The sequence below is a fragment of the Homo sapiens genome, chromosome 1, assembly GCF_000001405.40.
Source record: "Homo sapiens chromosome 1, GRCh38.p14 Primary Assembly".
In the NCBI taxonomy this organism is placed as follows: Eukaryota; Metazoa; Chordata; class Mammalia; order Primates; family Hominidae; genus Homo; species Homo sapiens.
Window position 1 is genome coordinate 224,917,478 of NC_000001.11, and position 16,276 is coordinate 224,933,753.

Sequence of the window (16,276 nt, forward strand, 5' to 3'; positions counted from 1 at the left end):
ATCCTTACAGGTTACCTTCTTGACATGAGTGAGCGGCAATATGCGTAGAATATTGCCAAGCTGAGAAGCTCACTCCAGTTTCCGTGTCCAAAGATTTCACTGAAGTTTCATTACCTAGGCATGTCTAATTGATTGCTCACATGTTTGAACTCAATCTCCAGCTCCCTTCCCCTAAGGTCAGGCTAATATCAGTGGCCCCAAACCCCAACCTTCTAAGCACACACAGTTGGTCTTTCTGGCATGGCACCCTAAAACTATTGGGTGTGACCCACCCCACCCTGAGTCATTTTGCTAGTATAAACTATTCGCTGTAGGCAGAGGGGCCACCATCAATTAAAAAAAAAACACTCATATGAGGAAATTCCAAGTGTTTAGAGATTTCCTCTCAGGAGCTGAAGACAAAGGCCAGATCTCTCTGTATGTGGCCAAATTTCTTACTACACAGCAGCAAATACAGCCACTATTCTGTTTTCATGATCTTAACAAGAAAAGCATGGTAAGGTTGGCTCTAATCTTGACATAAAGCTACGTGTTTTCTGCTCCATGATGATTATAAAGAATAGAGTCAGAGGCCTGGTGGTGGACACCATCTTTAACTGACATAGGAGAGAGATTCTGGCAGCAGCTCGCAGTGGGATTTGTGGTAGTCAGTAGTCCATGATGGCTGAACAGGGGGGTAGTACTTGGCATGCTAAAGGTATACAGGGCAATAGATGGTTCTGAAATCCATGGTGGTTGAACAAGGTGGTAGTACTTGGGATGCTAAAGGTATACAGGGCAATAGATGGTTCTGAAAGGTATAAAGGGCAATAGATGGTTCTGTTGACTGGGACAGGTTCCAAATCCTTTGGAGTAAGTGAATTTAACCTTGTAGATTCTCCCACATTCCTTTTCTATATTCTTTTCTTTATTCACATATTATCTTAGGTCCTCACAGCTACCTTCCCAAGGCAGTGGCCCAAACCCCAGGAAGATTGCTCTTCATTTTCTACAACCTGCTCCATTCACACAAACCCACACCCATAATCAAAATCACTTAGTTTCCAGGGAGAATTGTAATCAGACAAACTAACGCGTATTTCAAGTTAAATTGTATATGTTCTTTGAAATTCCACTTCTATTCTATCCACAGGAAAAGAGAGTCAAAGTAAGAATTCAAAGTTACAGTCAGGGACCAAGCTGTGAAAGTTATAGAAAGCAAGATTAATCTGTTTTTTAAACAATTTCATGCAAATGAAAAAAGCTGAGTTTAAAGAACAGAAAATTAAGCAGCATAAATGAATCAGGTGGAGAGGAAATTCTCTCTAATTGGAAATAGATTGCTGTAGGGTTTTTCACAAACTCAAGTCACGTAGATTCCTGCCTGCCTTTTTCTAGTGGGGTGGTAAACTGATTATTTTAGCTGAAACATAAAGAACAGATCAGAGGGAGAGAAACCATTTAAATCAACAATTCTGTAAGGTAAATTTGGTGTAATGAGTCCCTGAGAAGGGACTTGTTCAAACTCGATCCCTTTTCCTGGCTTCTTCTGAATTTTGAGTATACTTCCTACTGTGCACTGTCAAGAGTTTAGTTCCCAATGAAACTAAACTGCGTAAGTGAATTGTATGGAAGTAGAGAAAGAACTAATCTAGATGGATGTGAGCACTGCAAGAGTTTTAACATTTAATCCTGTGTAAAAACAATACAGAAGTTGCAAAACTGAATAGAGATCAGCTTTCCCGTGCATTATGAGATGCAAACCCCAGGATGGCTCCCAGGGTTTGGTTTGCCAAAAGGCTTTCTCCAGACTTAATCTCCAAGTCTGTAGGATTCACATTTGAGTAGGTTAATCTGGGAACTGTCCATGAATTCAGTAAGAAATCCAATAGAGTTTCCAAACGACTGCCACATCTAGGACACTAATATTAAATAGCATAGTAGACTCTAACTAGTGAATTGAGAGAGATAACCTCTCTATATACATGTTACCGGTAAAGGGTCTTGACCGCAAGTTATCCAGGTTCTTGGCATTTCGAACAAAGAATTGGACAAAACGCACAATAAAGCAAGGAAAGAATGAAGCAACGAAAGCAGAGATTTATTGAAAATGAAAGTACATTTCACAGGGTGGGAGTGGCCCGAGCAGTGGCTCAAAGGCCCTGGTTACACAGTCTTCTGGGGTCCAAATCCACCATTGGCCACTTGATGTACACCCGGTGCAAATGAAGCAGTGGCCCACAATCAGAGGCCAAAGTGAAGTTACAAAGTTACACTCCTATGCAAACATCTGCTTGGTTGCTTTCTGCAACCAATCAGAGGTACTTTCAATTTTCCATCTGCCATGTAGAAAGTGTTGCAAAGGGAGTAGCCTCTGGTCCTTTTGTTACTTAGGTGTGGAAAATTGGGGTTTTCCTTTTGATTTAGTTCTAGGAAGTCAGCATGAACTGGCCTTAGGTTCCTTGCCTCCACACCCTATTCTCCTGCCTCAAATTCACCAGATAATAGGATACCTCCACACAGGTATTCTCTCTTTCAATTCTCAAGGATAGTAGGATAGAGGCTATCTCTGCATAGTGGCTTGAATTAGCCCCTACCTGTGTAGAGATATCCTATATCCTACTATCTTTGGGAAGTATTCTGGACTTGGGCAAATGCTCTGACAGTGGCCTCTGTTACCAACATTAACAGCATGTTACCAGAGAGGAATCTGAGAAAACTCTTTATTTGGGTAACATTGATTTTTAACATGGCTCAAACCTGTTATTTCCACAGCTGGCATAGGGAAATCATTAGGTTTCTCTCCAGATGGATAATGATTTTTGTAACTTGATTTACATTTAGGAATTTAAGGTTCTTAATGAAGGTTGACATATTTGTGAATCCAAGTTATTGCGTAGTTCTATTGATGATAGTAGTCATCTTATATGCTTAGAAAATATTCCTTTGGATGGCTATGTTAATTGCTATAATTTTCTTCTGTCATTTTAAATCATTTTTTCTTTGTGAAAACAAAATGTTACAAATCACCATTTTGTACTATTTAGCTGTAAATTACAGTGTATTGAACTAAAATGTTTCAGTTGTAACAAAGGATGGAGAAAATTATCAAAATTTACATCTATACTAAAATAGCTCAATGCTCATTGCCTTTTGTAAACACTGAAATTAAAACAAATAGCTGGGCGTGGTGGTTCACACCCGTAATCCCCTGCACTTTGGGAGGCCGAAGTGGGCGGATCACCTGAAGTCGGGCGTTTAAGACCAGCCTGACCAACACAGAGAAACCCTGCCTCTACTAAAAATACAAAATTAGCCAGGTGTGTTGGCGCATGCCTGTAATCCCAGCTACTTGGGAGGCTGAGGCAGGAGAACTGCTTGAACCCGGGAGGCAGAGGTTTCAGTGAGCTGAGATCGTGCCACTACACTCCAGCCTGGGTAACAGAGCGAGACAGCATCTCAAAAAAACAAAAACAAAAACAAAAAAACCCCAAAACAAATAGCAATAATAAATGAATTTATATCTGTTTACAAACACAATTAATTCTATTGATCTATATTTTTCTGGTCTTTATGAAACCCATTGTTCCTTTTGTGATAGTGGGATAGGTTTAGACTACTTTGCTAACTTTTATCTTAAATTAAACATGCTTGATAAATATTTATACAGTGCCTACAGTTGCTAGGTACTGCAGGGGACACAAAGGAAATACATCTGCTTTTTTGTCCTTAAATATTGAGACTCACATAGAGACATAAAGATTCAGGTTCAGAAACTATTGTCTAGAGATTTCCATATATCTTCATTTGTGTCACCAGACAACCTTTCAAGATAGATAAACTACTTTAGGTAGATATTATAAGGTAGATAGAAAACCAAGGCCTAGCAGTTGACTTGTTAATGTCACACAGTAAGTGAAAAGACTGGGATCTGAAATATGTTCTTTTCAGTGCTAGTCTTACACTTTCAGCAAAATTCAAGGCAGAACAGGGTGAGTGACACAGTGCAAAGAAAATGCCATGGGAGTTTGCGGGAGGTCACACAGAAACTTCTAAAAATTTCCCCATAAGTGATAATAATTTCCCCATGTGGGCTTTACTTTCCTCTTAATAGCCTCCCGCCTGAGGACTTTTGACCCCATTATTCTAGTTATTTCTCTAAGAAGAGATAACTTTGGTAGGTATGCCTTCACTTCTTTGACCTGCTTCTCTCTTATGGTCTCTCATTCTTTTCACCTCTTTTTCCTCTGTATTCTGGGAGAACTGTTGGGGTTAAACTGCCACATCACTTATTCGCTTTCCTGCAGTAATAATTTTCCTCTGTACTGCCTTTAGTACGATTCAAATTCTTCCACAACATTTTTGGTTTCTCTTAAATTTTATTTTGCTAGCTTCTTTTTAAAATTCTGCCTGCATCCAAGTCTATTCTCTTCTTATGTCTCTGTTCCTATAGGAAGGCTGTATTTTCTTGGTTCCTTGGGAAAACCAAACAGATGTTTTCTAAAATTTTCTTCTATATCTTACAAAAAATATTTGTTTAGAGGGTGTTTTTCTTCTGAGTCTTTAGATTAAAAAATTTTCGAAACAAAGACAAGGTTGTATGAGTTACCTAACCGCACACAACCTCTTCATTAGAAAAATGATGTCAGTAATGGTACTCACCTCATACAATTGGTATGGTAAGTAAATGAATTAATACATGTGAAGTATTTGCAGTAGTCTGGGTCCAGTCAGGATACAGAAACCAGAGAGTAGGCTAAACTGGGAAAGGTTGATGTATAAATGTATCAACAAAAGGGTAACTATAGAATATAAGGAAACTACATGGTACCCTACGGTTGAGGGTGGCAGGAAAAAACAAACTTGGAAGGGGCTCAGACCTTGTTGGAGAAGATGTGATTCAGCCCACTGGATAGCAGAGAATTTTGTTGGCTTGGCCAGCCTGGAGCTGACCTGGGACTGCTGGGCAAGCAACAGGCCACCCTCTGGACTGCAGGCTTGCACCCAGCAGCCAGGGGTGTGGGTCTGCAGTGAGAGTCGGGTCATCTTCAGGGATAGGAGCCCTTCAGAGTACATGGGCTGTGTGGGTCTGTGGTGTCTGTGTCCCGAGGGCTGCAGAAAGGCTATTGCCAGGCCAAGTCTTCAAGGTCACAGAGAGACCAGTTCGAGGTCTGTACCTGGAGCAGGCTCTGCCAAAATGGCCTCACACCTATACTGCTAACTCCAGGTTATGCTGGAAAGGGCAGGAGCTCCTCTTCCTTTGACAATGTTCCTCTACTACCATCTACTGGAAAAAACATAACACTGCATTCACTTTAAATAGCTCGGGAATTTCATTATCACAGAGCTATAAACTGAAATGTGTATTCAAAGCTGAGCAATCCTATATTGATAACTGACACAGAACTTAAAATTGTGCCTGGCACATGGTAAATATCACATTGCTAGAGATAACATTTTGCTATTATTATTGCATTCTTTTCTTTGCTTAATAATCTTTGAATATAGAGACATCTATCCAGCTTGGTGTGGGCCAAGAGGCCAGGTATACTGAGTGCCTTTAGTTCTTCTCGGTACTAATTTGAGAGCTAGTAGATTCTCTCTCTCATATCTAGAATGAGCCTTAAGGTTGATGTAAACAATCCTTAGTCACCCTTATAGGCACTGATCTGATGAGCCTATACCCTACCCTTCTAGCTGATTTTCCTGATTATCAGAGGCTCATGTAGTTTGCAGTTTTTCTTTGTACAAATGTAAGTCAAAGATACAACTCCTTCACATGCCCAGCTCCCAGGGCCTGTTTTTTGGCCCTGCCCACAGTGCTTCCAAGATAGAATGCCTCATAAGATGTAATGCACCCTTTCCTCTGCTGGATGCTGTTGGTTCTGTGGCATCACAGGAGTTGCAGTCTCTGACTGGGTATGTGGGGACAGGGAAAGAGGTCATCAGTCTGCCTGAAGCATTAAATTATTCTGGTGCAGTGAAGACATAACTGTACAATTTTCTAGTCAGGCCATTCTAAAGACCAAACTTTTACCTACCTTCTTTGCAGCATTATATTTGCTCTTCTGTTTTAGAAGATGGGTAGCAGAGTTCAGGAACATATATCTCAGCCAACTGCCATACATTCCACTATTAATAGACTATCCCAATAGACTCTGGTTTCCAGAGTTGCAGCCACTGTTTGCCATTTTATGTATCATTTCAAAGATTTTTTTGAGAAGGTGAGAAAAAGGATATTAGAGAACATTAGCATGCCTTTTTTTCTTTTCTTTTAGAGATGAAGTCTCACTCACTATGTTGCTCAGGCTGGCCTTGAACTCCTGGGCTCAAGTGATCCTCCTGCCTCAGCCTCCCATGCCATTTTGTCAGAGGAGTTTTAACCAGAGCAACTCCAACTTAAATAGGGGTTGGGTAAAATAAGGCTAAGACTTACTGGGCTGCATTCCCAGACGGTTAGGCATTCTAGGTCACAGAATGAGACAGGAGGTCAGCACAAGATACAGGTCACAAAGACCTTGCTGACAAAACAGCTTGCAGTAAAGAAGCCAGCCAAAACCCATCAAAAACAAGATGGCGACAAGCGTGACCTCTGGTCGTCCTCCCTGCTACACTCCCACCAGCTCCATGACTGTTTACAAATGTCATGGAAATGTCAGGAAGTTACTCTGTATGGTCTAAAAAAAGGGGAGGTTTGAATAATCCATCCTTTGTTTAGCATATAATCAATAAACAACCATAAAAATGGGCAACCAGCAGCCTTTGGGGCTGCTCTGTCTATGGAGTAGCTATTCTTTCATTCCCTTATTTTCTTAATAAACTTGCTTTTGCTTTGCACTGTGAACTCGCCCTGAATTCTTTCTTGCACGAAACCCAAGAACCCTCTCTTGGAGTCTGGATCGGGACCCCTTTCCGATAACAACTTCTGTTAAATCATGAATTTTTCAAAGTATAAATAATAATAATAGCTACCATTTAATAAGTGCTTGCCATGTAGCAGCTGCCACCTTTTCTCATTTACCTTTAACGTGATACCATGCTGGAATTCAAATTCAGGTTACCATAACTACAAAGTCCATGTTCTATGTTATACTGTACAGCTATACTATTTTACATTTTCTTTTCTTTTTTTTTGGAGACAGAGTCTCGCTCAGTCACCCAGGCTGGAGTGCAGCCGCACCATCCTGGCTTACTGCAACCTCCACCTCCCAGGTGCAAAGGATTCTCCTGCCTCAGCCTCCTGCATAGCTGGGATTACAGGCGCCCACCACCACTCTCAGATAATTTTTGTATTTTTAGTAGAGACTGGGTTTCACCATGTTGGCCAAGCTGGCCTCAAACTCCTGGCCTCAAGCTATCCACCCACCTCAGCCTCCCAAAGTGCTGGCATTACATAGGCGTGAACCACCACCTATAATCTACTACAGACCCAACCTCTATTTTACATTTTCATTCCATATATTTTTTACTTTATTTTTTCCTAGGAAAAGCGTATGGGCTTTGTGATAGACAGAATAATCAGCACCCCAGAAGATATACATAATCCCTGAAACCTGTGACTGTTACGTTACATGACAAAAAATAAATAAATAAATAAGGTGGGGGGGGTGGGTGGGAGCTTTGTAGGTGTGATTGAGTTAAGGCTCTTGAATTAGGGGATTATCCTGGATTATCTGGGTAAGCCCTAAACGTAATCACACTTCCTTATAAGAGAGAAGCGGAAGAGATCTGGCATATAGGGGAGGATAAGGTAATGTGACCACAGATGCAGGGACTGGAGTGAAACAGCCACAAGCCAAAGAATGCCAGCAGCCACCAAAAGCAGGATGAGGCAAGGAATAGATTCTCCCTTGGAGCCTCTGCAGGCAGTGCAGCCCTGCAGGTGTCTGATTTCAGCTTAGTGGAACTAGTTTTAGACTTCTGGTTTACAGAACTGCGAGCATAACATTTTCTTGTTTTAAGAACAAATTTGTGGCCAGGCGCCATGGCTCACGCCTATAATCCCAGCACTTTGGGAGGCCGAGGCAGGCGGATCACCTGAAGTCAGAAATTCGAAACCAGTAACTCCGTCTCTACTAAAAATACAAAAATCAGCTGGGCGTGGTGGCGGGCACCTGTAATCCCAGCTACTCGAGAGGGTGAGGCAGGAGAATTGCTTGAACCTCAGAGGCGGAGGTTGCAGTGAGCTGAGATCACGCCATTGCATTCCAGCCCAGGTGACAAGAGTGAAACTCCATCTCAAAAAAAAAAAAAAAAAAAAGAACAAATGTATTACAATAGCCACAGAGAATGCTAACTGGTTTCTAGAGTGTCAACTCCAAACTGTTGGTGGTTTCCAAAGTATACACACTAGCTCAGTGGTAGAGGAGGTGGTGGAGTATCTGCTGTGGGCGTGGTTCATTAGCTCCACAGTATTCCATCTATTAATACTTGTCAGAAGGGATCTTATAACTCATTGAATGTATCTCATCCAATGTATCAACTTCCCCTTCAACATTCTCTTCAAATGATTGTCAGGCCTCTGCTTACACAACTTAGACAAGTCCCCCGATTCTGCTTCAAACAAGTCCTCCCACTGGCAGAGGTTTCGCTACTTTTCAAGGTGTGGGATCCATACTTAGACAGCTTGACTAATCAGACATTTTTTCCCTGATATTTAATGTCAATCTGCCCTCTTATAGTTTTCATGCATGGGCTCTGGTTGTATACCCTGGAGCATCAAAGAATATGTCTATTCCCACTTCCTCAGGATAATTGATGAACTTTACCTCCAGCCAAATCATACTGTGAACTCAAGAAATTCACAATCAACTAAAACCCTTAAGATTTTGTTCATGATTACTATTGTTAAACCACATCTACCCCCATATGTTTTTGCAAAGTTAGTTTTTTGGACCCAACTATATTCTACACATACCCCTATGAAACTGGACCATGTTAGACTTGGTGCATTGTTTCAGTTTATAAAGATTCTCTTTGATCCTGGCTCATTTATTTACCCATCCCAGTTTCATATTGTATGCACCTAAACCAGCATGCCATGATGTCAATATCGAACTCTTTAATAAAAACTTTGAAAGGAATTAGGCCAAGGAGAGCCTAGCAATATAGCATTAGAAACCTTTTACCATGAATTAAAAAATTCCTAAGCACAATATCACTTTTTTATCCATAAGGATATCATGAGAATCTTTACCAAATGTCTTGCTAAAAATCCAAATAATACCATATCAATGTTATACTCTTTATCCATTTATGCAGTTCATACTTGAAAGTGCTATTTGAATTTGCTCATATATCAAATTGCTTTATAAAATTTAAGTCCCTTTATACTTATTCAAGGAATCCAGTGGCCTAATAAGCTTGTCAAAAAAAAGAAAATGCATGAACAAATTCTCAGAAGTTCACTTTGTATTATAGAATTAAAATATCTGGTAGTTTTCTTGAAGTAGAAAAAAGAGTAATATTTTTCAGTGATATTTATGACTATAAAAGAGCTACACAAAGGTTCATAGAAAAAAGCCCCATTGCCGGGTGTGGTGGCTCATGCCTGTAATCCCAGCACTTTGGGAGGCCGAGGCAGGCGGATCACAAGGTCAGCAGATTGAGACCGTCCTGGCTAACACGGTGAAACCCTGTCTCTGTTAAAAATACAAAAATTAGCCGGGCGTGGTGGCGGGCGCCTGTAGTCCCAGCTACTCGGGAGGCTGAGGCAGGAGAATAGCTTGAACCCGGGAGGTGGAGCTTGCAGTGAGCTGAGATCGCGCCACTGCACTCCAGCCTGGGTGACAGAGCACGACTCCATCTCAAAAAAAAAAAAAAAAAAAAGAAAGAAAGAAAGGAAAAAGCCCCATTAACACTGAAGCATTGGGTAGAAAATAAACTAATCTCCTGAGTATAATGAAGATGAGTGTTTGAGAGGTTCAACAATTCCAGTCTTCACTGCAACACTGTCCCCAGTTAGCCAAACCACAATGAGATACCATCTCACACCAGTCATAATGGCGATTATTAAAAAGTCAAGAAACAACAGATGCTGGTGAGGCCGTGGAGAAACAGGAACACGTGAACACTACTGGTGAAAATGTGAATTAGTTCAACCATTGTGGAAGACAGTGTGGCGATTCCTCAAGGATCTAGAGCCAGAAATGCCATTTGACCCAGCAATCCCATTACTGGGTATATACCCAAAGGACTATAAATCATTCTACTATAAAGACACATGCACACATATGTTTATTGCAGCACTATTTACAATAGCGAAGACATGGAACCAACCCAAATGCCCATCAGTGATAGACTGGATAAAGAAAATGTAGTACATATACACCATGGAATACTATGCAGCCATAAAAAGGAACAAGGTCATGTCCTTTGCAGGGACATGGATGAAGCTGGAAGCCATCATCATCAGCAAACTAACACAGGAATAGAAAGCCAAACACTGCACGTTCTCACTCGTAAGTGGGAGTTGAACAGTGAGAACACATGGACACAGGGAGGGGAACAACACACACCAGGGCCTGTCAGGGATTGGGAAGTAAGGAGAGGGAGAACATTAGGACAGATAGCTAATGCATGCGGGACTTAAAACTTAGATGATGGGTTGATAGGTGCAGCAAACCACCATGGCACATGTATACCTATGTAACAAACCTACACGTTCGGCACTTGTATCCCAGAACTTAAAGTAAAATTAAAAAAAAAGTTTAATACACTTTTGCCAATACAATTTTAAAGACATTTTTATGTTTTTCAATTTTTTTTTGTCAAAACTGTGAATCTGTGGATTTAGCTCATTTAATTTATGGAAAATGTCTGCTGTATAATCAGCATTGTCAAATCAATTAGCCAAATCAGGCTGACTTTTTATCATAAAATCTGACTTCATTTTTCCATTGAAATAATTTCATTAAAAAACATTTAAAAAATGATTACAGAAAGCACTGGGAAAGAACGTATAAATGCATTTAAAAAAATAGATTACTAAAACCAATCAAGTTAAGATGAAATACTATAGATATACTTTATTCACTTTTATAGTAAGTTATACAAAAAAGAATAAGCCTATATAAGGTAAGGGAGTGGGAAATGTCAAGGATAACGCCAGTGATTTTTGGTTTAAGCAAATAGAATTGCTATTTACTGAGATAAGGAACACTGGATGTGAACTCAGGCGGCCCTTCATAGTCTGTCTTTTTTGTTGATCTTATTTTGTTTTAGACAGTCTATTGACTGATTTTTTTTAAGTTACGACTCTCAACTTTTTGGCCAATTTTATTCAAATGGAAATGATTATTGGCATATAAAAACATTATTTCCAAAATGTTTTTCCTTTTTAAAGTGACATATTTCCTTACCCCCAATACCTAAACCCTCTTACCAAACAGCGTCTCAAAGACTCAAATTCATACATAGATTTTACTGTAATATGCCGAATGGTTATATATTTAAACTTATTAAATATTGTAACAAAAATGGGAAGCTGATTTTTAAAATATTAAACACAGCCTTAGATGTAATAGGCCCCAACAAATCTCTACATTTTTTTTTCCTGTGGATCCCACCAAGAAATATGAAGTCACCCAGGTATTTTTTGTGCCTAGCTCAGTGCCTGGCACATAGTAAGTGCTCAATAAATATTGTAGTTGTTGCGTGAGTGAAATATAGAACATTAACTTACTAAATTTTTATAAGACCTTTAAAAAGAAATGGGGTATTTTAATATATATGTAATTATTTTTACCTTAGAATTGTATACCTCTTAGACCTGTTTTATTACATATATACGATCCTTCACTAGTAAGTGAGGCTTTTTAATGAAAATTCACGCCCACGAGTTGTGAAAATCTTAAGTGTAAGTCACCTCTTTCAGAGGTCTCAGAGCCACCTGTTCTGCAAAGGCACACATTTCTCCCGCCTTTAGGCCATACCTAGGTAGGCATGCAGGTGGTAGAAAGGTCAGACTAGAGTCTTTAACTTGGGCACCATATCTGATCTGCCTTTAGGGCACACTTTTGGGCCACACTCTGCACCCCCAACACCCCCCTTACCCCCAGCACCGTCGGTGTCACATCGGGGGCCGCCGCGTACCCGCGGTGGAATCTCGCAAGAGCCAGGGCCCCTCCTCACCTGCCCGGCACCCAGGATCCCTTGCGCCGCGTTCGGGACCCCACCCCCATTGTGGCCTCTTCGCCAGGGCGCAGGCGTGGCTCTTGGTCAGGCGGTTACGGCCAGGAGGCGTCGGAGCCTGGCGTGGTAGGGCTGTGCTGCGCGGTCCTTCCCATTCACCCTAGTCTGGCGCTCGCCGGCGTGGGCGGGCCGGACCTTCGCCGCTTCCAGGAAGGGCCACAACGGCCGTCGGACCACGGCGCGGCGGGTAAGGTCGTCAGCGTCTTCCTGTCAGCGGTCGGCAGAGCCTCGGCGGGCGGGCGGCGCGTGGGGCAGCCGGTGTCGCACTGGGAGGGCTGCGTGGGCGCGGAGGGCCTGGGCGCTCCCCACCCAGCTGCTGTGGGAGCGCCTCCGAGTCCCCGCGCGGAACCCTCACCAGGCAGATGCTGGCGCATCCACCAGGCGCCGGCGCCGCCACGCCGGTAGCCCCGACCGCAGGAGCTCTCAACGCGAGGTTCTTCTTAGTTGCTCTCCCTCAGGCAGGCCGCGTTCCCTTCTAGTCCTATATTTCTGAAGTTTTTTAAAATTTTCCATTTATAAACGAATAATGAGCTATTTGAAAAACCTTGCCATCACTTATTGTATAATATATACATATACACTCTCAACACAAATATATATGGATTATTATAAGTGATTTTGTATGTAGAGATATAACTTTTCTAAGAAGTTGATGAATTACATTAGGGACACTAATGGATATTTTACTTGCGTTTGTGGGATAGACTACGCTAGGAAATATATGTACATATACAGTCATGTGCCTCATAACAGCGGTAGTCCCATAAGATTATAATGGAGCTGAAAAATTCCTGTCGCCTAGTGATGTCATAGTCAAGGCATTATGTGTTTGTGGTGATGCTATTGTAAACTGTGCTGCCAGTCATAAAAGAGTAGCACATACAATTATGTACAGTACATAGTACTTGATAATAACAGATGAGTATGTTACTTGCTTATGTATTTACTATACCATACTTTTTTTTTTGAGACGGAGCCTCGCTCTGTCGCCCAGGCTGGAGTGCAGTGGCGCGACCTGGGCTCACTGCAAGCTCCGCCTCCCGGGTTCACGCCATTCTCCTGCCTCAGCCTCCGGAGTAGCTGGGACTACAGGCGTCCTCCACCATGCCCGGCTAATTTTTTTGTATTTTTAGTAGAGACGGGGCTTCACCGTGTTAGCCAGGATGATCTCGATTTCCTGACCTCATGATCTGCCCACCTCGGAGTCCCAAAGTGCTGGGATTACAGGCGTGAGCCACGGCGCCCGGCCTCTATACCATACTTTTAAACGATTATTTTAGTGTACTCCTCTTTATTAAAAAAATGTTACCTGTAAAACAGCCTTAGGCTGGTCCTTTAGGAGATATTCCAGAAGAAGGCATTGTTATCATAGGAGATGACAGCTCCATGTGTTATTACCCCAGAGACCTAGTGGGACAAGATGTGGAGTTGAAAGACAGTGATATTGGTGATACTGATCCTGTCTATGCCTAGGCTAATGTGTGTGTTTGTATCTTAGTTTATAATTAAAAAGTTTAAAAAGTAAAATAAAATTTTAAAATAGAAAAATGCCTATATTAATAGAATAAGGATATAAAGGAAATATTTCTATACAGCTGTACAATGTGTGTTTTAAGCTCAGTGTTATTACAAAAGAGTAAGAAATAAAGTTTATAAAGTAAAAAAGTTACAAGAAGCTATGATTTATTATTGAAAAATTTATTTTTATATTTAAATGTTTTTATTTGTACCAGATTATGAGGTACGTGAGAAATTTTGGTACATGTATCTAATGTGTAGTGACCAAATTACGGTACTTAGGTTGTCCATGACCTGAGTACAATATATTTTTGTTAAGTACATTTTACTCCACTATCAAACACTGAATTTATTCCTTATATCTTACTGAGTCTTTGTACCCTTAAGCCCACTTCTGTTCATCCTCCCACTTCCTGCCATTCATCCTTCTCAGTCCGTGTTATCTATTTGTCCACTCTCTACCTCCATATAGTATTCAAATTTTAAACTTAAATTTTATTCAAATTTTGTAGCTCCCACATATAAGTGAGAACATGATATTTATCTTTTTGTGCCTGGCTTATTTCACTTAAGATAATAACTTCCAGTTCCATCTATGTTACTGCAAATGATGTGATTTCATTCTTTTTTATGGCTGAATAATATTTCATTTTGTATATATGTACCACATTTTTTATCCATTCATCCATCGATGGGCACTTAGGTTAATTCTGTATCTTTGCTTTTGTGAATACTGCTGCAATAAATGTGTGAGTGCAGGTATTCCTTTTATATATTGATTTCTTTTACTTTGGTTAGATACTCAGTAGTGAATTGCTGAATTGAATGGTAATTGTATTTTTAGTTTTTTGAGAAATCTCCCTACTGCTTTCCATAGTGGCTGTGCTAGTTTACATACCCACTAACAGTGTATAAGAGTTCCCTTTTCTCCACATCCTTACCAACATCTGTTATTTTTTGACTTTGACTTTTTATTAATAGCCATTCTGACTGGGGTAGGATGGTATCTCATTCTGGTTTTTGATTTGCATTTTTCTGGTGGTGGTGAGCATTTTTTTCAAATACCTATTGGCTGGTTACATGTCTTCTTTTAAGAAATGTCTATGCTTGTCCTTTGCATACTTTTTAATGGGATTGTTTGTGCTTTTCCTGTTGAGTTGTTTCAGTTCCTTGTATATTATGGATCTTGGTTCCCTGTCAAATGAATAGTTTGCAATTTTTTTCTCCTATTGAACAGGCTGTTTTTTCACTCTGTTGATTATTTGTTTTGCTGTGCAGAAACTTTCTAGTTTAAGTCCGATTTGTCTATTTTTATTTTTATTGCCTGTGCTTTTGAGGTCTTAGTCACAAATTATTTGCCTAGCCTAATGTCCAGGAGAGTTTTCCCTAGTTTTGGATCTTATGTTTAAGTCTTTAATCCATTTTGAGATGATTTTTGTATATGGTGAGAGATAGTGGTCCAGTTTCATTCTTCTGCATGTGGCTGTCCAGTTTTCCAGGCATCATTTATTGAAAAGGGTATGCTTTCTCCAATGTAGGTTCTTGTCAGTTTTGTTGTAAGTCAGTTGGCTATAAATATGTGGCTTTAATTCTTGGTTCTTTATTTGGTACAATTGGTCTGTGTGTCTGTTTTTATACCATTGCCATGCAGTTTGGGTTATTATAGCTTTGTAGTATATTTTGAAGTCAGGTATTGTGATGCCTCCAACTTTGTTCTTTTTGTTCAGGATTTCTTTGGCTATTCAGGCTCTTTTTTTATTCCATATGAATTTGGGGGATTTTTTTCTAATTCTGTGAAGAATGATATTGGTATTTTGATAGGAATTGCATTGAATCTGTAAATTGCTTTTGGCAATACGGTCATTTAAATGATATTAATTCTTCCTATCCATGAGCATGGGATGCTTTTTTATTAGTTTGTGTTGTATTCAATTTCTTTCATTAGTGTTTTATAGTTTTCTATGTAGAGATCTTTTACCTCCTTGGTTAAATTTATTTTTAGGTATTTTTCTTTTGTGGCTATTGTAAATTAGATTGCCTGCTTGATTTATTTCTTGGCTAGGTCATTATTAGTGTATAGAAATGCTACTGATTTTTGTACATTGATTTTGTATCCTGCAGCTTTACTGAATTCATCTATAAAATCTAAGAATTGTTTGGTGGAGTTTTTAGGTATTTCTAGATATAAAATCATATGATCAACAGAGAGGGACCATTTGATTTTCTTTTTTTCCAATTTCAATGCCTTTTATTTCTTGCTCTGGCCTGAATGTTCTGGCTAGGACTTCCAGTATGAGGCTGAATGAGAGTGGTGAAAGGGGACATCCTTATCTTGTTTCAGTTGTTACAGGAAAGGCTTTCAACTTTAATCCATTCAGTATGATGTTAGCTGTGGGTCTATCCTATGTGGCCTTTGTTACTTTGAGGTATGTTCCTTTTATGCCTGGTTTGTTGAGAGTTTTTATCATGAAGCAATGATGAATTTTGTCCAATGCTTGTTCTGCATTTATTGAGATTATCAAATGGCTTTTGTCCTTCATTCTATGTGATGTATCATGCTTATTGATTTGCATATATTGAACCATCC

At 40.1% G+C, this 16,276-nt stretch overlaps 1 protein-coding gene and 2 long non-coding RNA genes across 27 annotated transcripts in view, besides 1 other annotated feature; 1 reads left to right on the forward strand and 2 right to left on the reverse strand.

Moving 5' to 3' along the window:
• LOC105373109 (uncharacterized) overlaps window positions 1–12,094 on the reverse strand; it is a 45,784-nt gene extending 33,690 nt beyond the window's left edge. Inside the window, exon 1 of the long non-coding RNA XR_949207.2 lies at window positions 12,033–12,094. This is a non-coding gene — a long non-coding RNA (uncharacterized LOC105373109). The remainder of the gene's footprint in view (window positions 1–12,032) is intronic.
• On the reverse strand, window positions 2,060–6,759 carry LOC124904524 (uncharacterized). Its single transcript, XR_007066899.1, has 2 exons — window positions 6,021–6,759; window positions 2,060–5,266 (listed from the first exon to the last, which is right to left on the reverse strand). It is a non-coding gene; the product is annotated as an uncharacterized LOC124904524 (long non-coding RNA).
• Window positions 12,177–16,276, forward strand: part of DNAH14 (dynein axonemal heavy chain 14) — a 469,633-nt gene continuing 465,533 nt past the window's right edge. For 20 of the 25 annotated variants that reach the window (XM_011544062.3, XM_011544067.3, XM_017000296.2 and 17 more), the window contains exon 1: window positions 12,177–12,358. The gene's annotated coding sequence lies outside the window, so the exon portion shown is untranslated. The remainder of the gene's footprint in view (window positions 12,359–16,276) is intronic. The other 5 variants (NM_001367479.1, NM_001145154.3, NM_001349911.2 and 2 more) reach the window with 1 other exon arrangement.
• Window positions 12,433–12,532: a silencer, noted in NCBI's record as "silent region_1854". NCBI's record gives its function as "represses an Ori minimal core promoter by ATAC-STARR-seq in GM12878 lymphoblastoid cells {active_cell/tissue: GM12878}" and the evidence as "EXISTENCE:reporter gene assay evidence [ECO:0000049][PMID:35858748]".